We start from the raw sequence: 24,492 nt of genomic DNA on the forward strand, positions 1-24,492 counted from the left end.
TTTTTCCAGGAATCCAGGCTAGCAAAGAATGAAGCTGCGCGGATGGCAGCTCTGGTGGAAGCAGAGAAGGAGTGTAACCTGGAGCTCTCAGAGAAACTGAAGGGAGTCACCAAAAACTGGGAAGATGTACGAGGAGACCAGGTCAAGCCCGACCAATACACTGAGACCCTGGCCCAGAAGGACAAGTAGGTGCCTTCGGTGCTCTTTTTGTCGCTTGTCTTTTGCCCATTCTCAAGGCATACAGCAGCTGTCCTGTTCCCTTTCAAGGACTGACAGTAGGAGCTTCACTATTTCTAAGACTTTATGGTCCCACAACCGAAGACATTCTTTTCAGGGTTGAATTTTCAGTGGTATCCATTATGAAAACTCACTTCATGGATTCAGTGGGCAAATAGCGGCAAGCAAGAGACATGGATTCACTTATTCAGCAAACATTTACTGGGCATGCCACATGCCAGATACCGGGCTAAGTATCTGGCATGTGTTACAGAAACAAAAGACCTAATTCTTGTCACCAAGAAACATGTTACATGATTTTAATAAGTTCCCTGATAGAAGAGCATGGGGTGCTCTGGGGAAATATTGGAGGGTCATCCATTCCACATTAAAAGAGCAAGTTGTCTGCTGTGGTCTGAATGTTTGTGTCCCATCCCCACCTCCCTCCCCCACCAGTTTATATGTTGAAATCTTAACCCTTAAGGTTAATACTTCTGCCTCCAGAAGTATTATGAGGTGGAGCCATTAGGAGGTGATTAAATCATAGACATTGGAGATGGAGCCCTCATAAATGGGATTAATACGCTTGTAAAAGAGACCCCAGAGAGCTAGTTAGCCCCTTCTACTATGTGAGGATATAGTGGGAATGCACCGTTATGAGCCAGAGTGTGAACCTTCACCAGACATTGAACCTGTCAGTGACTTGATCTAGGACTTCCCAGCCTCCAAAACTGTGAGAAATACATTTCCGTTGTTTATAAGCCTCCCAGTTTATGGTGTTTTTTTATAGCAGCCCAAAAAGACTAAGATAATGCCATTGAAGGTTTCCTAGAGGAAGCGAAATCTGAGCTGAGCTTTGAAGGATGAATAGGAGGTAGAATAAATAGGTAGAAAGTGGATAGGGAAAGGAAATATTCTATGCAGAAGGAGAAACTATGGAGGGAAGACACAGGGAAAGGAATATTTCAAGAACTTTAAATAATTGTACATAACTGGAGCAAGTGAGAAGACAAGTGAGAGGTAAGCTGTTTTGAGAATAGGGGTCTGATTGTGCCAGCTTTGTATACCATTATAAGGAACTTGGACTTTGTCCTGAAGGTAACTGGGCAATTATTGAGGTCACCACCATCTACTGTCTGGATTACCGAGGAAACTTTCTTTTTTTTTTTTTTTTTTTTTTTTTTTGAGACGGAGTCTCGCTCTGTCGCCCAGGCTGGAGTGCAGTGGCGGGATCTCGGCTCACTGCAAGCTCCGCCTCCCGGGTTCACACCATTCTCCTGCCTCAGCCTCCCAAGTAGCTGGGACTACAGGCGCCCGCCACTACGCCCGGCTAATTTTTTGTATTTTTAGTAGAGACGGGGTTTCACCGTGTTAGCCAGGATGGTCTCGATCTCCTGACCTCGTGATCCATCCGCCTCGGCCTCCCAAAGTGCTGGGATTACAGGCGTGAGCCACCGCGCCCGGCCACCGAGGAAACTTTCTAAATGTCCTCTCCACTTCCAGTCCTGCTCCTCTCATTCAATCTCAACCTAATAATTCAGAGTAGTTCTGAAATAGATAATTCAACCACAACAAATTGGCAAATAATTTAGCCTCTTAGGTGCATAAGACTGTGGTGGTATAAAAAGCTTTAAGGAGCTTTTAACTGAATAGGCAAAAACCACATGTGCATACCATGACCAATGTGATCTTTCCAAGACATAAATTTAATCGCACCATGGCAGAGCCATTTAAGAACTTTGCAATACCTTTAGGAGATAAGATCCATACTCCTAATGTGGCCATCAAAGCCTTTTATGATGTAACCTCTGATTTCTCCCACACTCATCACCCACCACCATTCCTTAACTTCATTCATGCCAGGCTAGTAATAATAATGATGGCTAAGCTTTGTTGAGCTCTTACCATACAGCTGAGTACTTTATGTTCTTGTTTAACAGCCCCATGAGATATGAATTATTATACTTTATTAATGAAAAAATTGGCATCTGGAGACTTGTGAAACATGGTTTCAGGGATTGCTGACATCCAAACCCTGAAGCCATACTGCCTCCAGAAGCATAAGAAGCTATGGCAAGTCTCCAGAATTTTGCTCATGCTTTTCCTTCTGTGGGAAACATCTGCCAACTTTTTCCCTTCTAGTGAACCTCACTAAGGCATCAATCGTCATTTCTTTGAAGGCTTTGTGATAGCAGAATGAAGTTTCTGTATTGTTTCTTTTATATATATATATATATACACACACACACACATATTGTACAATTCTCAGTATGGCACTGTATTTGCTTTCAGATTTTCCCTACTAGGTTCCCCAAGACTGTCTCATATTTGAACCCCAATAAAAAAAACTGAACTAAAAACCAAAACAAAACAAAACCCCAAGTAAAGCACATGCACATCTGAAAATAAATTGAGGCCACTCATCAGATGACCTTGAACAATTTTGGAGAGTAGGAGAACAGATCCTCTGTAGAGACTAAGGGTCAAAGAGATGAGCAAAGTTTGAGGCTTAAGAAAAGTAGAGATGTTCTAGTGCAGATACCAAGAGGGAATTTCATATGGAGTCCACATTCTTCTTTCTTGTCATCATTGCAGTTTACATTTGTATAATGTTTTTAATTTTTTGTTTCTGTTTTTGTTTTTGTTTTGAGATGGAGTCTCGCTCTGTTGCCCAGGGTGGAGTACAGTGGCAAGATCTCGGCTCACTGCAACCTCTGCCTCCTGGGTTCAACCGATTTTCCTGCCTCAGCCTCCCGAGTAGCTGGGATTACAGGCATGCACCAACACGCCCAGCTGATTTTTGTATTTTTAGTAGAGACAGGGTTTCACTATGTTGGTCAGGCTGATCTCAAACTCCTGACCTCAGGTGATCCGCCTGCCTCAGCCTCCCAAAGTGCTGGGATTACAGGGATTACAGGCATGAGCCACCATACCCAGCCCAATGTTTTTAAGTTTTTAAAGTTATTTCTCCTGGGAGTCATGGCTCACACCTGTAATCCTAGCACTTTGGGAGGCCGAGGCGGGCGGATAACGAGATTAAGACCATCCTGGCCAACATGGTGAAACCCCATCTCAACTAAAAATACAAAAATTGGTTGGGCGTGGTGGCGCATGCCTGTAGTCCCAGCTACTCGGGAGGCTGAGGCAGGAGAATCGCTTGAACCAGGGAGGTGGAGGTTGCAGTGAGCCAAGATTGTGCCACTGCACTCCAGTCTGGTGACAGAGCAAGACTCCGTCTCAAAAAAAAAAGAATCACAACTGGAAACATTTCATTTAGTACCCACCACATTTTCAAGGACCTGGAAGGTTCATGTTCCAATATATACAAACAGAGAATATGCCTAGCACATAGATGATCAATAAGTTTATTTATTTTTTCTTTTTTTTCTTTTATTATTATACTTTAAGTTTTAGGGTACATGTGCACATTGTGCAGGTTAGTTACATATGTATACATGTGCCATGCTGGTGCGTTGCACCCACTAACTCATCATCTAGCATTAGGTATATCTCCCAATGCTATCCCTCCCCCCTCTCCCCACCCCACAACCGTCCCCAGAGTGTGATGTTCCCCTTCCTGTGTCCATGTGATCTCATTGTTCAATTCCCACCTATGAGTGAGAATATGTGGTGTTTGGTTTTTTGTTCTTGCGATAGTTTACTGAGAATGATTTCCAATTTCATCCACGTCCCTACAAAGGACATGAACTCATCATTTTTTATGGCTGCATAGTATTCCACGGGGTATATGTGCCACATTTTCTTAATCCAGTCTATCATTGTTGGACATTTGGGTTGGTTCCAAGTCTTTGCTATTGTGAATAGTGCCGCAATAAACATACGTGTGCATGTGTCTTTATAGCAGCATGATTTATAGTCCTTTGGGTATATACTTCGCAAAAGAAGACATTTATGCAGCCAAAAAACACATGAAAAAATGCTCATCATCACTGGCCATCAGAGAAATGCAAATCAAAACCACAATGAGATACCATCTCACACCGGTTAGAATGGCAATCATTAAAAAGTCAGGAAACAACAGGTTCTGGAGAGGATGTGGAGAAATAGGAACACTTTTACACTGTTGGTGGGACTGTAAACTAGTTCAACCATTGTGGAAGTCAGTGTGGCGATTCCTCAGGGATCTAGAACTAGAAATACCATTTGAGCCAGCCATCCCATTACTGGGTATATACCCAAAGGACTATAAAGCAACTGCTTTCTAAGTGGGATGGCTGAAGCAAGAGACCTTAAATCACTTGACCGTCTTCACAAAACAGAACTGAAGCAGAACCAGAAGTCCCCTGATAGCCTTTCAGGGACACCACCTACAAATACACCGTAATCCCTCATACTCCACACGCCACTTCAGGGAAAGGGACATGAGGCAGGAATACAAATATATACCATCTGTGACACTTCCTAAGCTCCTGGCTTCAGAGTAGCCATCCTGATAATTATTATTTAAAGTCCACATTATAAATGTGCAAGTTAAGTGAGTTATGGAAATCATTCCAGATACTGGTTCACCAGTAACATCAGTTTAGCCCTAAATATTGTCATAAGTTCTCTGATAGGCGCATGTGATTTAAGCTGGTGCTCTGTCAAGACTAGACTTAGGCGTTTTATCCTTTTTATGACATTATGTATGTTGAAGAGAATATATGAATATATATAAAACCTTCATTATCACATTATTCTCAATCCAGCATTTTCCCAGCCCCTGATTTTCATGTTAGTTCAGCATTCTTACATCTTTACAGATTTTCATCTAAGACTACATTTCTACTGTTTTATATAATCAGCCCCCCTAAGATCAACATGTCCACATTTTTTGGCAAAGACAAAGCCTACTGATTTCAGAATCATTATTTTCCTTTTTCAAAAGCACAAACCCAAACTGAGAAATAAATCAAGAGAAATTCTCCTTTTTTCTATGCTAATTTAGAAGTGGAGTCTTTATTTCTTTTCAAACCCAAAGAGAATCAGACATACAATATGAATTTATCTACTTTCACTTGCTCAGACTGAGAGGAAAGATTAATATTTTCAGGCTGTTAGTCAAAACTGTTCATTCAAATATTATTTAATAAAATCCAAGAACCAGCTAAAAAGTCGCTTAAGCTAAGAAACCTTCACCAGCCTCATGGGAAATTGTGTACAGTTTTCCACTAGAATAGCCTATAAATGCTTACTGAAAATGTCTAAGTTCATATCTTGGTAACTAACATTTTAATTCAATCTGCAGAATAATATATGCTTCTTTAGTGCTAAGATATGAATATTAGAGGCATTCTTTCTTAAAATTTCTATTTAGTTATACTTTCACAAATAACTATATAATATTAAAATTCTGCATGTGGCATAAAACATATTTTAATGGAGAAGGTAATGTGTAGGGAGTTTATTTCTGTTTGCTATTAGAACTAGTGTTTATTCTTGGTTAAAAAAACTGCAGATTACAACATAGAAAAAAACAAAAGTATGTTGTATATCTCTTACAGTAGAAGATAAAGAGTAGTTCTAAATTTAGAAAGGAAAAATAAATATACACAGTGAAAATATGTGTCAGTGAGATGTTAATCAAAGATCAACTATTGCTGAGACCAGCAATATTAAATCCCTGCACAATTACTCATATTATAATGAGAATTTTAAAAAGAAAATATGAACACATAACATAATGAAGGCAGAAGTCACTCTCATCCTTCATCTTTGTATTCCCAATTCAGGAAGCTGGTATAGTATCTTCATTATAATTACTATTCAACAAACATTTGTAAAATGAATGAATAAGGAATGAATGATGAGAAAAATGATAAACATCTCCCTCTGTCTCCTGGGAGTTAACTGCACTACTTTCTTTTAAATTTAATTAATCCTCCATGTCCTTGTAAAATAGCCAAAGGGAAAATGTATTTACATTACTCTAAATATTGATGCAATCTACAAAAAGTGTTAAACAACTTCCTCAAAGTAAATAAAATGTTCACAATCCAGCTAGGATAAAAGGATTTAAATCATTTCCTAGGTAGAGGGCTTTCAATTAGAGCCCCTGCTGCATTAATCATGGGAACTCATCTCACTCTCTTCATGATGGAGCCCTGAGTGTTGCTGCTAATCTGTACTCTACCATTCTAATGCTTTTAAGGTTCCTTTTCAGCCCTTCCTCCTCGTAATCCACAAATACTGAGACCAAGGCATTTTTTGGGTCAGTCCTAATTTCAAGCATTCTATCCTGCCCTCCCCAAATGAACTCACACTTATTAGACCATATGTTCCTATATTAGTTCAGGAAGGGGGAAAAAATGTTAATCACACTTGTATATAAGAGATCATAGAAAAACAGTTTACTAACCTGTGAAAATACCATTCATTCTCTGTTTACCTCTGGTCCACAGCTAAGCAATCAGTAGGATATAAATGTACCCTATGTTCACTATTCAGTATTCATAAGTATACTACTTATGAATTGGAAATCTGACACAACATTTACATGACCTAATTTTGAAAATTTAAAATAGTGTAAAGCCCCTAGGCTTAATTTTACAGGGGAAAGATTAAAGGGACACAAGCAAACATATATTCTCTCTCTGTGCTGTGGGACACTAGTAATTTTTTGACTTAAAATATTTGATACTTAAAATGCCAAACTTCTACATTTCTGCAGTAACAAGGCAGTTATCATATTGAATACCATTTCTTTCTCTCCAGTAAGTAGAGTTAATATTAGCACATGAACTGAAAATATTAAGTGATTATAAAAACGTCCAAATAAATTCATTAAAATTTAGCTTGGCAAAATGTTAGTTTCATGTTCTTGGTAGAAGTCCTTTTATATTTATATTCAAATGAAATGAACAATTTACAAGCAAAGGAAATGGCATCAAATATTTCACACCCTGCCTCCCAAGGTGTATTGATTCATGCTTTTTGCTCAGATCTAGGTTTCTCCACTCAGGAAAAGAGGAGAATGTACCCATACTTGGGAAAACAAGTTTCCGATGGCACAGCTTTGATCAAACAGCAAAATTCTATCCATCTATGTATTGCCATCTGACAGTATGACAAATGGTCCCATGTGCGATATTCACACTGCATTGCAGTCAAACCTGTAAGTCAAAGGATATGAAATAATAGTAACTATACATTAAGCACAGAAGAAAATGAAACAAACAAAAAGGTTTTAAACCAACCAAAAATATGTCTTATTTTGGATGTTCTATATGTTCTTACGTTCTCTCAGGTCTTTTGTGTCATTATGAACACAATTCTAACAAGCTTGATTATTTTATTTCCATTCACATATTACAGGCAAGCTGAAAAAGTAGAACGGGGTGTAGAGAGACAGGACAAAGTACAGATTAGGGCTTGAAGTGCCCCTGACCAGTCGACAGCAACCACATGGAATAATGACTCATGTGCATTAATGATCACACTAAATGATATTTGTTTTTTACCTAGTCTTTCAACTGACAGCTTAAAGAACTTCAGGTTGTTCTGATTCTTGAGCCTCCTCTACAGCTTCAGAGAGGACTTTCATTTTATTTTGGATCAAATGCTCCACAACTAGTTGAAACTGGAATTAAATTTTATATGAAGTTCCTAGATGATTTAAAGCTGTAAGAAGAAGAATAATGAATCATAAGAAAACTTGCTGCTACAGATATCAAAAAGGAATGTTACCATCCCTCATGCTAATCCTTTTCATTTTAAATAAACAGGATCTAAAAAAAATAATGCTGGGAAGTCCTAACCACATCAAGAATGCCTCAGATCAGTGACCCAAGGAACCTTCCAGAATGGATGAAATAGACCCAAAGCTGAATTCACCTAATTTTAGGGCCAAAAACCCAAAAAACAAAACAAGACCAAAAAAATCTTCAGATACTGGGAGAACAAATCTCAATTGCTCAATTGTATCTTATGAAAACAATTTTTCAAAATAAAACAAGAGATATTTAAGATTCATTAAGTTCTTGTCATTTCAAATTTTAAGAAAAATATTTTCTAATGGAATTACATATATTTATATGATTCTTCTAGTTATATCCATGGTAATAAATACTCTTTTCAGTTGGAAATAAAACCCATTTGTGCTATATTATTAGGGAAAATATCTACATAAATTAGTTTTTAATTTAACTAAAGTCTATCTTTTGAATTCATAAGCATAAAATTTTAACCACTTGCAAAATTTATAACACACTTAAGGTAGTCAGATGCCTTGTCAAGTAGTTTAACAAAAGTGATTTTCACCTGTTTGTTTTAATAACAGTGCATCGATTTTATGAAAATCAGGCATGCCCTCGGGTCCTAACAAAGTATACGAAGCTGAATGGATCTATGCCAAATATGCCAGATTTTACTTTCTGAGTCTGATTTTATACTTCTGTCCTCTTTCTTACCACATGGCTTCCAGTATCACTTACAGACTAACCCTTCAAAAGGAGAAGGCTAAGTTACTAACATTTGGAAGGCTTATGAAAGTGAAGCATAGTTATGAGCCAGCAATGTTTTTATTTATGGAATGTGTGCAAACCACACACTTAAGCAAGCTCTGGGGAATGAGAGTTGGGGGGAATCAACTGTTTTATTTGCTAATTGGTATTTCCTTTAAAAGATAGAGTTCTTCCAGATTTTAACTGTGTTAATAGTTACTCTAGAAAAATTGGAGATTTGTGTGCATATATTTTATGTTGTAAACAGACACATACCCAGAGACACTGAGAGAGACAGACAGACAGTAAACAGAGGAGCACTAACCACAAACGGTTTACAAATGACCTCTGTGCTCATTCACCTGTCTGTTCCCCACCTTGCCTTTTATAGCAACTATAGCAACAGCCATGAGAGTCATTGTGGAAAGAAATAAAATAAAATTAAAAAATCCTGGAAGCTTGTAAAGAATGTGAGCAAAGGGGAGGAAGTTGTGAAAAAAATGAATAAAGGGCACCGATCCAGAGTATTGAAGAAGGCAGAGTGGAGAGCCTAGTAATGAGTATCTGGTACCCCAGTATCCTCTCCCACAGAATCTGTACAGCTCTCCGTTTATGACAGTTTAAACTTAATTTAAATTATCAAACAGACACTTTCCTCAAACATATAAATGATGAGGCAGTTCATTCAGGCTGTATGTATAAAGCTGTTCCAGCCACCTTTTTCTAACGGCTTCTCTGTATCTTTTACATGGAGACAATGAGAGATTTGCTTAGGACAATTTGACTGTAATTTAGAAGTAGGAAATGGGAAGTATTTGTATCTTCTTTGCCTAACTCACATTAGTTACTCAAGTAAGCATTTCTTCCGTTATTGCATTTTCCTGATTACAAGTTTTATGTTTTCTCTAAAACACATATCAAAAGAAATGTCCTAAGCACTATGCAGGGGGAAGCCATGACATTTATCTACCACTGTCAGCAAAAACATGAACTTAGCCCTCAACAGAATATTTCACTTCATTCTAGTGTCACCTCTGCATCACCTGCACTGGAGTCACCACTTGCCTGTTGGGTAAGACCAGGATGCACCACTGAAATAAAAAGGGGTCAGACAATACAAGAAAAGCCAGTAGAAATTGCCAAATGTATCAGAATACACACAGGCTTTCTAAGGATATGGCCCAAGAGGAAGGCTCTAGAGCCCACCCTGAAACAGGATTTTTGACTTCACAGATAAATTATTTAATTTTCAATAACACAATTCAATTAAAGAAAGGGAAGTACAAGGCTAAACAAATAAGAAATGAAGACAAAAACCCAACCTTTCAAATCTAAAGAAAATAATCTGTTTTAAAGACACAGATGAAGATCAGGAACCCAAAACAGAAGAAAGGAAAAGCAATTAACACTGGCATCTGATAACAACGAAAAGTATGGAGTCTGGAGAATCGCTAGACTCTAAAAATTATAAAGGTTTAGACTTGGGCTTTGTACACTGAAGAAAAGAAAACTGCATGCATTTATACTGACCAATGTACACTATTGCTGCTTTTTAACTTTTGTGTATATGTAGGGTAGATTTTTTTTTTAAGTGAAAGCAAGCTTATTAAGAAAGTAAAAGAATAAAAAGGTGGCTTCTCCATAGGCAGAAAACTAGCGTAGTTTTTTTATTAGAAATTGTTATTCAACAATAGTACATGTTACAAATAAATACCATTTTAAACTGAAAAAATTGTAGACTTTCAAATCAGTTAGAGTGGTCACCCTAAAAAAGGGCATTTTTTCCCCTTAGTCTCCTTGTTCATGTTGCTCACAACAAGAAATGGGCTAATGCTATGAATAATAATAACAAACACTGCCTTCTGTCAGGCCCTGTGCTGAATACCGTCTGCATATGTATAGGAAAGGGTTAACTCAGCAGGTCTTGTTTGCCCAGACTCTGTACATTTCCAAGAAAGGTCTGCCTTTAGGACTGGTCCTTGGCCAGCTCCTGGAGAATGAGCTCTCAGCTTTTAGAAAATTCTATCTGCTAAGAATAGTTTTGCATGTCTCAGGTCTTGGGCCACAAAATATCAGTTTAATCAGATGGTTTATGTTAACAACTATGATTTATGGCAAACATAGATCTCTAATCTCCATTTCTCTCTCATATATCTATATTTATCTATCCATATATATGTACCTATATATATCAAATATAAAGATATGTTTATAGCAATTGTATATACGTAGAGAGATAATATGTAGTATGAAGAGAGACATAGATATTATTCTTCATTTTAGAATGTTATCTTGGTATGTTTAAAAGGAAAAACTTAAGATGTGTTGCAATTGCAGTATGAGTTTCAGGTATGTACATGTTATGTGTGTGTGTGAGAGACACACACAAACACATTTCAAACATGTTTTATGTTTAAGCTCAATATTCAAACACAGAAATATAACATCTATTCTTAATATGTTTTATGTAAGTACAGCAGCAGCATTATTAAATACTGTATTTCTATGGTGATTGAAAATTAGTAGGCAGAGAATTTTTGTAATGGTTCTTAATAATTTTTGTAATAGTAAATGATTACTTTTTGTTTAGTATAGTTTTATAATCTATACATGAATAAAGTGGATATTTTTATTCATATAGAAATGTGATTTACTCTCATGTACTTATCTACATGCTAAAACCATAAGTTATCAATTTTAGTTCTGTGCCAAGGCACTTTTACTGAATAAAAATAATCAGCTAATTTTATATTTTCCTGATTCAAATTTATATGCCTGTGTAATGTTCCGGGGTTTTTTTTTTTTAATTTCTGTAAATCAGAATATTCAGATGTTGAAAAAGTCTTTGCCTTCAGATTTAAAAGATACCTTTGAAATGTAGCATATCCCAAAATGCAACCCAGAGGCTGGCAATGTCAACATTTTTCTGTTTTAAAAAACCTCTTATGAAAACTATTGCCATACTAAATTTTTTACTTGCTGATGACTTACAGCTGGAAAGGATTCTGTATATATAAGACATCAAATATTGAGGATACTGGAACTTTTAAATTAATGGCAAAGAAAGTCAACAAAGGAAGTTCATATGAAATCAAACTAGTAATATGATTACAAAAAAAAAAAGTTTAAAATTTTTCTTGGCCCCAGTCTTATCATTTCTGAGCCAAATACAATTCTATCGAAATCACCTGAAACTGAAATCACCATTCTAGGCTGGTTTTCCCATAAAGATGGACTGCTCCAAAAAGAGGAATCAAGAAAGAATTTGGCTCACAGTGAATTATTCACTTTGTCTTAGTTAAGTAAAAATAAAATCTGACTGTTAACTACAGAAATCATTTCAAATTCTGTGGTGATAATAAAGTAATGACCGCTTTTCAGCTGGAGGGACTAACTTCTTTTTTTTTTTTGCTGCATATATAGCTGTGGTACATTTTAATGTGAAATGATGACTGCATCAGCTTATATCCATGGAGCAGATTTTAGCATTCAGCTTGGGTCTCCCAGTCAATATCTACGAGTCTCTTCTTAAGGAGATCGATGACACAGATACATACAGACTAACAAATGTGATACCAATAATCAAGAATTCACTCAGTTAAGATTTTGCCCACTGATTTCCACACAAGAAACCTAGAATTTACTAGATTCTTGTGCCTGTGAGGCTCCACTCATTTCCCTGAATCACAAAAGCTACAGAGTATTTAGATAGAAATATACCTACTCTTAACATGAACCAGTTTAAATATATGTATTACTGTGTCCACAGGAGTACACTTTAAAGCAGGGACTTCACTCTTCAATCTCTCCAATCACGTGTTACCTAAAGTGGCATGTGGTTCCCTAAAGCTTAATAACTGACATTGCCTTAAAAAAGGGGTTTGCTTCCCGACTAATGTGGAAAAAGTCTGAAAAATGATTTTAAATCTTTCACTAAATTTCTCATTTGGTCACGTGGAGGAAAATGATTTCACCAAACAGATACTCTCATTAATTTTTTAATGTAATTTATCAAAGAAATGAAATATTTAGATAAATTCCAGGTTTCCCCCACCATGAGCTTCTCCGAAAGTATACTCCATCACAGACTGCTCACTAAGAAGCTTTACTGCAGTCAAAGTGACCGAATTTAAGGGGACATAATGACTACTTCTGCTACACAGAAACATTATCCATCTCTAACACTTCCCTATGAGACAGAAGACGGACTTCTAATCAGGTACCAGAGAGGGCTCTGCCAACTTCAGGGCTTTGATGAATAAGAATGGTTGAGAGCGCTCATCATAAATGAATTCAGTATAACTGAGTGAGAAAGTGAGAGAACCAGAGAAATAAATCCACATGTAGAAAATTTAGTGGTGTGAAATGCCAAATGCCAGTTAACCAAAGCTTTCTTTGTCATAAAGCAACTTCTATAAAAATTGCTGAAAATAAATTCTTCATGGCTCAATGTGAATCAGTAATTTCCATTTCTATTACACTGTTGTTTACCTAAAAACTATTTTTAATGACTAAGACTCAGAGTTTGCCAGAGTGTTTTCCACAAAACAACTGTTTTGAGATACTCCAGATCTGTAATCAAGTAAGTCTGAAAAACCCCAAATACCTCACACACCTCTTGGATATGCATAAAGCACACTAATATATAACGTTCTAAAAAGCCAATCATTAAAACTGTTTTATATTGTTTAAGCATTTCCTAGACATATTTGGCTACAAATCTAACATCTAATTAAACAGTCTGGGAAATGCCATCACATAATGTAGGAATATTACTAGTCATTTAAGAAACTAGAAAATATTTACTATATTCTAGGCAGTTGGCTAGCAGTTGGAGTTCTAGTCTCTAAACAAAATACTGACTTATTTCTGTGACTTTTTTCTTTTAATGTGACATCACTCTTTTAAGCAGCTCTGTGCTTCACAATTTTTTTTTTTCCTGGTTTGTTTTCCACTTTTGTCTGTACTTTATTCCTTCACAGATGTGAAAGGCTAACAAATGTAAACTAGTTATATTAATCAGCCTCTGCCTCAGTTCTACACTTCAAATACAGTATATACTCTATCAACAATTCTTGGATAATAACAACCTGTACTTGTTTTTCAAACAATAAAACAGGCCGGGCACCGTGGCTGGCTCACGCCCATAATCCCAACACTTTGGGAGGCCGAGGCGGGCGGATCACCTGAGGCCAATATGGTGAGTTCGAGACCAACCTGGCCAATATGGTGAGTTCTCGTCTCGACTAAAAATACAAAATAATTAGCTGGCCGTGGTGGTGTGTGCCTGTAATCCCAGTTACTTGAGAGACTGAGACGAGAGAATCGCTTGAACCCGGGGGGCAGAAGTTGCAGTGAGCCAAGATCGCACCAACTGCACTCCAGCCTGGGCAACAAGAGCGAAAACTCCACCTTAAAAATAAAATAAACAATAAAACGATGAAAACACAAATAACTACAGCACTTCAGAGTTAGTTGACAAATCCACCTTTTCAATCTACATTTCAAAATGTTCAGAAAGACACCATCCTAGGGGAAGTCAACCAGCAGCAACCTCTCTGCTAATTTTTGTACACAGAAACTTGACCTGACTGCACAAAGGTTTCAATAGATGTCTCCCTCTAAAATTAATATTGAATGATTTGTCATCTTCCATTTAATACCAAAAGGGTATCAGCCACAAACTGAAATATCACTCATATGCAAATAAATAACATTCAAGACTTTTATCGTTGTGGTTATTAATCTTGTAATGGATGGACATAAATCTATTCACATTCTCATCCTATCCTCAAATTTCACTATTCTCTCCTCTCATTCTTACTTTGTTCTACTCATATTCTCACACTATCCTCCTACGCATAAAATATTATGTATCCTAATGAACAGAGATACCATTCGTGGGCAAGGAAAAAACACAATGAACTGCTCTTTATAATAAAAATCATGATCTTGACACAGATGTTATCAATCAATAAACTTTACACAGCTTTACACTAAATTAATACAAACTGCTGATGAGTGGGTGGGGAGTGGTCACTAAGCAAACAGAAGCATGCAGGTGTTAGGAAGCACGAGAAACATATATCAGTGGGTAGGGAAGGCAGCTCTCAAAGGCCAAGAATATAAGTTTTAGGTCTATATGGAAAAAGCTGTGGTCACATTCGAAGGCTTCTGAACAGAAGAATGATTAATTTCATGCTTAAAGAGTTCAGGTGTAAATAAACTGGATGGATGAGAAACTCAAAATCAAGAATTTTAAGACACTGGGTTAAGGTGATTGAGCTAAGTCAAAGCCAACAGGGCATGGGCTAAATATTGACATGGGATGGGATGAAGAGGCCAACAATGTTTCAAAGCAGAGGTTGCCGGAGCTTCAGGAACCAGAAGAGGAAGACTTGAGGTGAAATCTGAAACTGCAATCCCCATACCTGGCTCAAAAGATGTGATACTGACTAGGAAAAGGCTGGAGAGAGAAGCTTCTTTTAAAGAGGTAATAAGGGATTGTTTTGATGTGCTGGGTTGAGGTGAAAATGACAAATATTCAGGTGGAAGTGTCCAGCATTCAAGTAGGATAACTTGGAACAGAAAGCCCAAATTATGTCGTGGTGAAATGAGGATAATGTCTTATTAATAAAAACACGTCTTACTAGTCTTTCCTGGGGAACATGAAAGATAGAATTTCAGAAATTTAGAGAATGAAAAAGGAAAGATTACAAGGCAATAAGTTGATTAAAATAGACTAAACTATTCAGTGGCAGCTATCTTAAAGCAAGATATATCTTCTACAGCACGATCTACCCAAATGCAAATCTGGGCAGAGAAATACAAAATATTTTTAGGACTGACAAAATTTCAGCTATATGTCTTTTTAAAAATGCTGCAGAGAGAAATTTAGATGGATTGGACAAATATTTGCATAAGGATTCCACAGCCAACGTACACAATTTTCCAACTACTATGGTTAGCACTGGGCTCAGGCACTACCTTTGCCAACCAGTAGATTTTCAGTATTGCCCCTGGCAGACATCCCATTAGCAATCTCTCCCCATTCCCAAACATTCTCAACTATTCTAGTCATGCCAATTCAACCAATGTCTCTTAAGCCTTACATAAACATTGACTTACACCGAAATGTATCCTATGGCTCTTACTAACTGTAACTTACTTAAATCACCCAAGCCTCTGTTTTCCCTGCTATAAAATGTAAAATAGCTGACAAAATACCTATTTGTATTTTTTGGAAACACGGGATAAAGCAAGGCAAGCAAAAAGAACAGCAGAGACAATGCTTAATAAATATCCTAGTAGGATCACCTTAATCCATGAAGAAAATGGAGTTTAATTTTTTTAATACAAAAAAACTCAATGAAGTTATACTTACGTTAAATTGGTGGTTATTTTAGGTCAGTGGTTTTAAAACTCAACAATGAAACTGTTTTCAAAAAGAGTTGTTATACAGAACAGAAAAAAGCAGCCACAATTTTAAAAAAGATATGAAGACCCAGATTCTCACTCATTCAGCTCCCTTCATACTCCCTCCCCACAGCCACCTCAGCTCCTGAGGCAGGTTCCCAGGGCTCCAAGGAACATACTTTTAAAAAATCAGTATTTTGAATATATAATAAGTGATGTAACTTAAAAGTATGGTGAGAAAGTCCCATTGCCAAGAGAAACATGTTAATTTTTTATTTAAAAAATCATCACTCTTTTCATTGTGACATCTTGAAGAACGCTGAATGGCTTCAAAATAACTGCATATGCCAAGATTTCTGGAGTGGGCACGTTTGATCTTCTTTCATAATGAAAACTGACAAACATTTTTAAGGGCATAGTATTGTTTCTTCACTCTCCCCCCCTCCTCACCCCTGCACACACATACATTTCTCCTTCCTGGGGAACTCCAAAGAAAACAAAGGCCCTTTAGCAATCAAGTAGATTGTCTCTCTTGATGGCATCCCATGAGTTATGGAATTACATACTGCAGGCCCAGGTGGATTAGGGCCCCTAGAAAGTTTGCTTGATCAACAGAGTGCTGTTGATTTTTTCAACTGAATTAATTACTCTTGGAGTCCAAACTCTCCAGTGTGCCACAGTCCTCATCACTTCCTGTATCTTAAATATTGCATTATCTGTCCCCTAAAAGTATTTGAACATGTGACCCAGAGAAGAGGACTTACAACTTGACTAGGCAACTTCTGTCACACTGGATTCATATGAAATTCCACTGCAAGTGACATCACCAGATTGGGGACCCTGAAGTGTTTGAGTATCTTCTCCACATCTGGTCATTTAGGCTAAGAAATTCCTTCTTGTCTACCAGGTCTTTTAGCATTCATTTTGTAAGTCATTCAACACCTACTTACTGAGAAGGAATACTGGGCTAGACAGTGTGCTAGGGGCTGGGGAAACCGCAATGCATAGGAGAGAATTCCCATCTCCAAGAGGCTCACAGTCAAACAGACATAAATAGGTGATTACAATACACACTAACAACATAGTTTTAGAAACAACTAGCAGAATTATATAGACGAAGATGCCAGGAAAGGCTTCTCAGAGAATCTGGCTTGGCAAATATCTCAACAAAGAGGGCTGAGCAGGGATGAGCCGAAGGAGAGGATGGAAAGTAGGTTGTGGGTGAGTTTTCCAGGCAGCATGTGCAAAGGTCCAGGAGAAAGAGGAAGGAGCCTGTACTTGGAGGAATATTCGATTACTATTATCAGTGTCACACTTGCTATTCATCTAGACAGAAGCTCCTGAAACAAAAAGGATACACTTCAAAAGATGCCAATATATCCATGACCACACAAAAGAGTGTCTAGTCATATAATAAAGGGTGTACATATGCAGGCAACTCACATCCTGCCAAATATTAAATTTCTAATTTTATTATAATTTCTAATAAAACATTAGATTTATTATTATACAGAGTCATACTCCTTGATTGGGAAACTCTCAACTCAATAAACATTCTTTAGTCTCATGTCTTTTCTAAAGGAAAGAAATTAATGTTATATTCTTGGGTGAAAAAAATGTGAGGTCTCAAAAGAGTATAATACAATTTGGGGATGCATATATATTTTACATGTATATAGACACATAAAAATCTAAAAGCATAAATTTTAATATGTTAACAGAAGACAGAAGTCATGTATTTTTTACTTTCTTCTTTTTGGCATATCTCTTTTTCTAACTTTTTTTTTTCTTTTTACAAAAAACAATTGTTATTTGTGTACTTTTAAAACCTCACAGTAATATTTTCACACTACCTTCTTGGCTGAAAGTTCACACTCGGAATTCCAGAGCAGTCCATGGCCAGGCCCACTGGGCTCCCCTTGCTCTCTCCTTGGCTTTGGTAACCACTGGCCCCAGGGACTCAGCCTGCTTTCCTATCCATCCCCTCAGTAGCTGTCACCATGCAGGTTACCCCTTCTGTTTCTTCTACCACTAACTCCATGTCTGACTGCAAGTGAAAGGAACAGAAGCCCAAACCTTTGGGTTTTAAGGAGTTTATTGCTAATCTGTAAAACAGAAAGAGACAGGAGATAAGCATGACAAAATATAGGGAAGAAATGACTTTTGCCTAAACTTCCCAATTGTGTACAATTGAAGCCTCTGCTTTATAGCTCTTAGCACACCTCTCAAATAAGAAGGCAGTACTGGGAAGGCTCTGAACCTGTGGCAGAACCACTGATAGCTGTGGAGCTATTCCAAGGAGTCTGGGAATCAGGGGGATTATCAAGATCATTGTTAGAATAAATTAATCTTACTGTATATATAGCAGAAGTTTTCAAGCATATGTAAATGCTACTAATAACCAAATAATTACACCTTGTTTTTCTTTAAACTGTAACTCTCAAGTATGTCTCTACATAATTTTTTGATTGGTAGTGTCTGCATGCTCAAAAAGCTTGAAAACACTACTGGAGAAGAAGGTCTCGGGAGTGTGATGAAATACGTTTACATGGCAGCTTCATCATTTAATTGGTGAAAGTGACTATGTGTCTTAAACTCTCTGAGCCTCAGTTTGCACATCCAAAAGCAAGGATATAATTCCATGAACCTTTCCACCTCAAGTCCACAAGGCAGAATAGCAAGATGTTAACTGCCACTCTGAGGACCACCAAATAAAAGGACAATTTATTAGGCCACTTGCCAGCATGGACACAATCGACTCTTGGCATTTCTTATTATCCACAGAAAAATTAAAAGTATAAATATAGAACAAAATTATCGTGTTTTTTTTAATAGTAACATGTAAGATCAATCTTTGTCTTTAAAATACCGTGTATCTCATTCTCGGAAAGCGTCAAAATGAAAATGGTATAGTAAGTTTTATCTACAACTTGAATTAAAATTATTCTTGAAATATGTTCTGAATGGTTAGATGAAATGGTAATTAAATACAAATAGAGATAATCATATACTCTCTCTCCATAAGGCTCCCACCTCCTTCAATGAAGTCTAGTTCACCTAAAATGACACTATTAACATTAATTCAATATTATAAGTTGATAAGCACATTAAATCAAAACACAGCAAGATTATTTTAAGAGTCTGACTGAAATGTCAGGATGAGAAATAGATTAATAAATATTGGCTTCTAATGTCGGTAATGAAAACAAACACGTTATTTTCAGAAAATAAAAGGTCTTCGTCATTAGGTACAAATCATAAAGGGATTATCTACGGTTACTACACTGTAACAACTTTTTACATATTGTATTATAGAACAAGCTTTTGAGAAGACAAAGCAACACATCAGCAGTTTAACCAATTGTCTTTCTCTTTTAACAGGCTGGTCTACATTAGATTAGATATAAAAGGCCCAGGTATTACTTGTGTTCGATCTTAGCCACATGGCTGAGAAACATCCAGGTACATTTAAATCAGTGACAAAAGAAAACATTATCCCTTAGTAAAATTACATAAAATAGGAAACATCTCTTACTTTAAGAGCAACGATGGTACTTGTTCCTATGGTGAAAACTGATGTTATCTCGATTAGTTAATTATTCATCCCAACACCTGGTCTTGCTTCCTTTTCCACCTCTAGCTATGTTAACACTAGAGTTCAGTAATTTGTTGATAAAGAATCTTAACTGCAGTATCTAACAGATCTTAGTGATTAAGCATATGACTTACCCTTTGTACAGATAAGTAAACTGAGGCCAAAAGAACTGAGGTATCTTATTAAAAATCAGAGAGCTAGTTAGTTGAAAAGTCCACCTGTCCTTCCTTTCCACATGTCTCACCAGAAAAACAGCAATGGTGAAAAGTCAACTCTGTTTTTAATGGGCCACTTTGTATATTTTAACTGTTAAAATAATCCAAGAAGATAGTAGTCATATACGAAGATCCTTTAGATATAATGTGTAGGACCAGCATTAATTTAATCAACCAAGTCTCCTCTCATTGAATTGTTAATTCATAATTACAAAGATGACATTACAGTAAATTAAGAAATACTGTAATTTCATTCTCTCCAAAAAGTATACATTGAAGTTTGGTGAATACTGTTATATTTTCAACTAGTAAATCAGTGTGCCAATTCTGGGTCTTAGGCATATTGTATATACTGGAATGATATTCACTTTAATTAAATTTGTTTTGAGATGTAGAATGTAATACAGATCCTACGTGTTTTTAAAAGTTCACATCAATTTCAAGCTTTTAAAAATGTATGTACACAAGAAAGCTTCTTTTGCAATTTATATGTTTACAAATGTTGCCATTAGCTAAGCTATATTTTGGAATGTGATCAAACAATATTGAATGTCAAGTCTTAACAGCAGGGCTGGTCTAAGGAATTCCCTCTAAGCTAAATCTGATCCTTTCATATGTGGCTACTGCTCTTTTAAACTACTGTATCCCTAAAGGGCTAAAAGGAAGAAAATCCTAACTTAATAAGTGAAGGCAGCAAGGCATAGTATTTGAATGGCTACCTTTCATTTTAACTCTACTTCTTAAATTCACAATTGGATTTGGGTTTGTTTCAAGTTGTTCACAATTTACTAACGAAATGTGCATCTCTCATTCTTCCCCCAAAAGAAAGAAGTCATCCACTCCAGCTACATATAAGTCTCCAATTTCTGTCTTACAACTAAACGTGAAAACCGAAATACCACTCATTGAAAAAAAAAATATACAGAGAATTGGCAGGCTGCATGTTTATGTGAACCTTCAGAAAACATGGAAACACGCAGCCCCAACTCACCAGGAAAATCAACACTTGTGATCAAACTATTTTGTGACATTTTATGTCTTTTATACATTTCACTTCATATCCAGTATTCCAGTTTTGCACCGGCTTGCCTGTATCAACCCCAAATCGCCTGAGAGCAATCTAGTACTGTAGCAGAACCGTTTCAACATGAAGAGTTCTGCTCATCGCCTGTGGCGTGGTCTTCGAAACACCTGAATCAAACATTGATTCCCCTCCCCCTGCTATTTAAAACCGAGGGACGTCAGGCTTGGGTTGTAGGTAAAGAAAAGCCACAGTAATCAAACAAGCAACCAAAATACCCGAACACGGAACACGCTAAGAACAAAGGAAACACAAGAGTGTGAACAGGAAATGAAGCAACTCTACACCCATAAATACCTTCTGGGGCCGCCAACATAGGTAAAAGTAAAGGTGGAGTCTGAGTATCTGAAATCTGAAACAGAAAGTCCTGTCAAAAGCTACCCCTGGAGTGGATTTGTTTTAACCCCGATCAGGACTTGGGCCCTCCATTTGGTGGAGTCAGGGGAGGCCTGGCCGGGCGGGAGGCGAGGGCTAGAGGGCGGCGAGGTCTCTCCGCGCAGCGTCCCAGGGGATGCGGCGCGCCCCCGACTGGGTGCAGCGGCAGGCCGCCCCCGGCAGCAAGTGCCGGGTGCCATGGCAACGGCGGGAATTTCCCGGTCGGGGAGGCCGGAAGCAGCCCCGCCGGGCTCGCGGCAGCGAACGCAAAATCCGATCTCTCTCCCGGGGGAGCAAAATGGACGAAAGGCGACCCCCCAGGCAGGGGCGCTGGGTGCCTTGGGAATCCGAGGAATCCCTTCTCTTTGCCAGTCGGAGGGGACTAGATGGAGCCGAAGGGGCCGGAGATGGGCCGAGCGCTGCCCCCCGGGGGTCTTCGGCGCCGGGCGCAGCTTACGAGCGCAGCGCAGCAAGCTCCATTCCCGGCCGCCGCCGCTCAGCCCATTACGCAAACCTGGCGGGTCCAACCAACCCCGCTCTGCCGCCGCTGCTGGAACCCAGGAGGCGTGCTTGCAGGCTTCGGGCACTACGCGGGGCTGGAAATACCACGCACTGCCCCTTCGCCTAGACCCCCGCTCGGGCCACGCGGGTTCTGCCCTCAAAGCTGGTAGCTGCCCCAGACTTGGGGGTGGGGGGAGGGGAAGGGGCGAGGCTGGCACCCCCTCTGGCTTTTGGCTCCCGTGTTCGTTGCAGCAGCTGTTGCCAAATGAACCCCGGAATGCGGACGTGCAAACCCTCCACCCCACCCCCAGCCACACACGTCGCGGTCAGAGAACTGGGAAGGGGGCGCGGGGTCCGAGGTTCTGGAAAAGCAAGAACTCACCTGCAAACAGGCAGTCCTCAGCTCTGGACTTCTGGATCACGACGTCGATATCCTTCTGAATTCGGTCTTGCCTTGAACACATCCCCATTAAATAAGTCCTTGGAAAAGAAGCAGCCGCTATTTCCACCCCACCCCCCTCGCACGCTTTCAGCTTTCGTAAATATTCAGTTAAAAATGAAACCTCTGGCCGAGGCAGGGGCTGAAGGCCAACTGGTTTCGGAAGTGATCCTGGGTGAGAGGAGGAGAAGGAGGAGGAGGAGGTGGAGGTCGGCTTTCCATTTCCAGATGTGACTGCCCAGCTGCTGCTCGCCGCTGCTGGATTCCAATTACCTCCCCTTCTGGCGATGGATTGGTGATGACACCGAGTCTCACTTTCTCCTTCCCCCGCCCGGACCAACCGCCGTGGGGGGCCGAGGGTGCCGGGGACGGCCGGAGAGCGATCACCGGCTGGGCGGCGGGAGCCGACGAGGGGCGAGCCCCGCTCCGGCTCAAGCGCGCACACCCCTCACGGCCCGCACTCCGGCCTTCCACACCCGTGCACACTCTCGCCCGCGGGCGGCGGCAGCCGTGCCCAGGCTGCTGCAGCGCCACCCGCCCGCCGCGGACCCTCCGCGCCCTCCGCCTAGTCACCCGGCCCGGCCGCGGGCCGCCGGGGCTCGCAGAGTGTCAGCCATCCCGGGCAGGAGTCGCGTCTCCCCACACCGACCTCCACTCGCGCCGGGAGCTGAGCGGCAGTGTAGGTAGTGAAGACTCCCTGGGGCTCCCAGCCTTCCCTCTCCGCGCTCTCCCCCCATCACTTTTATGAATTCGACTCCACTTTCTAAAGGAATTATGAGTCTTGTGGCAAACACAAACCGGAGTGGCCGGGAGGGGGAAAAGGGGGGAAAAGAACACCTTTAAAAATTAAAAAAATAATAAAACGAACAAATCTTTACTTGTTGCCACCTCAGATAACACGGAAAAAGCCTTGAAATTACCCCAGATGTGCACCCTCCCCTTCCCTCAGTGCCTGAGTCTTTTTCCTCCAGATCGAAGTATTTCAGCCCTTTTGGGGTGCCGTTTGCGAAACACAGCCCCTTTTGAGGGACTTCCTCTTCTTGAAAAGACTCACCAGTTCTCCCTTCCTAGGTGTTTCTGTTCATGAGAAATTGTCAGAATCAACTGGCACGTTCCAGGGTCTTCCTAAAGGACGGAAACCTGTTTGGCTTGCTTTTTAAAACCACCTCCTTTGACAGTCAGTCCAGGGAAAGCTACAATCCAGGTGTTCAGAAATGAGATACTGCTCTGATTCTCACTTTCTGTTCTGCCTAAGGACACCTCAGGCTGACGTAGCTGCCCCACCTCTATATTGGTTTATGCCCTAGGAGAGGTCTCCAGCAGGCACTTTTCTTGTTGATCTTTTCTCCGCTGAGAAGGCTCCCGCCAGTAGACCATGACTCGTTTTGCTTTGCATTCTCAGTGCCACGTACAGTGCCTGGAATACAGGAGGGTGGCCTAAATGTTGGCTGAATGCATGAATGGTCATTTCTTGCAGCCTCTTTTCATTACCCTGTCTCATCAGCTTTCTTATCAGAATAAGTGCCCAAGAGTGCCAAACTGTTTCAGAACCTTAATCAATTTAGTTCTGATTCTGACCGTGACAACATGATGTTCAGCACGGTACGAATGACTGCCATCTCTGAAGGAGTCTTAAGATTCTGTAGAATCAATGAAAGATTCTATGTTCTAACGCCTTTATCTTTCAGGAAAGAAATTACAAAATAGTTTCATTGTCCAGTCATATTCACTATGAGTTATAAGAGGAAACATTCTATCTAGAATTAGAAATACCATTTGACCCAGCCATCCCATTACTGGGTATTTACCCAAAGGACTATAAATCATGCTGCTATAAAGACACATGCACACGTATGTTTATTGCGGCACTATTCACAATAGCAAAGACTTGGAACCAACCCAAATGTCCAACAATGATAGACTGGATTAAGAAAATGCGGCACATATACACCATGGAATACTATGCAGCCATAAAAAATGATGAGTTCATGTCCTTTGTAGAGACATAGATGAAATTGGAAATCATCATTCTCAGTAAACTATCGCAAGAACAAAAAAACCAAACACCGCATATTCTCACTTATAGGTGGGAATTGAACAATGAGAACACATGGACACAGGAAGGGGAACATCACACTCTGGGGACTGTTGTGGGTTGGGGGGAGGGGGGAGGGATATCACTGGGAGATATACCTAATGCTAGATGACGAGTT

At 39.3% G+C, this 24,492-nt stretch overlaps 2 pseudogenes across 1 annotated transcript, besides 1 other annotated feature; both read left to right on the forward strand.

The window, feature by feature from the left end:
• LOC100996723 (uncharacterized) overlaps window positions 1-625 on the forward strand; it is a 123,106-nt pseudogene extending 122,481 nt beyond the window's left edge.
• On the forward strand, window positions 83-23,146 carry LOC124904391 (uncharacterized; annotated as a pseudogene). The gene is made up of 2 exons (XR_007066509.1): window positions 83-185; window positions 7,531-23,146. The product of XR_007066509.1 is annotated as an uncharacterized LOC124904391 (transcript).
• Window positions 6,063-6,607: an enhancer, noted in NCBI's record as "OCT4-NANOG hESC enhancer chr1:144504660-144505204 (GRCh37/hg19 assembly coordinates)". NCBI's record gives its function as "activates a minimal SCP1, AML or CMV promoter by ChIP-STARR-seq in naive H9 embryonic stem cells {active_cell/tissue: H9 hESC(naive)}" and the evidence as "EXISTENCE:reporter gene assay evidence [ECO:0000049][PMID:30033119]".
• Window positions 23,147-24,492: the final 1,346 nt, after the last annotated feature.

The sequence above is a fragment of the Homo sapiens genome, chromosome 1, assembly GCF_000001405.40.
Source record: "Homo sapiens chromosome 1, GRCh38.p14 Primary Assembly".
Classification (NCBI taxonomy): Eukaryota; Metazoa; Chordata; class Mammalia; order Primates; family Hominidae; genus Homo; species Homo sapiens.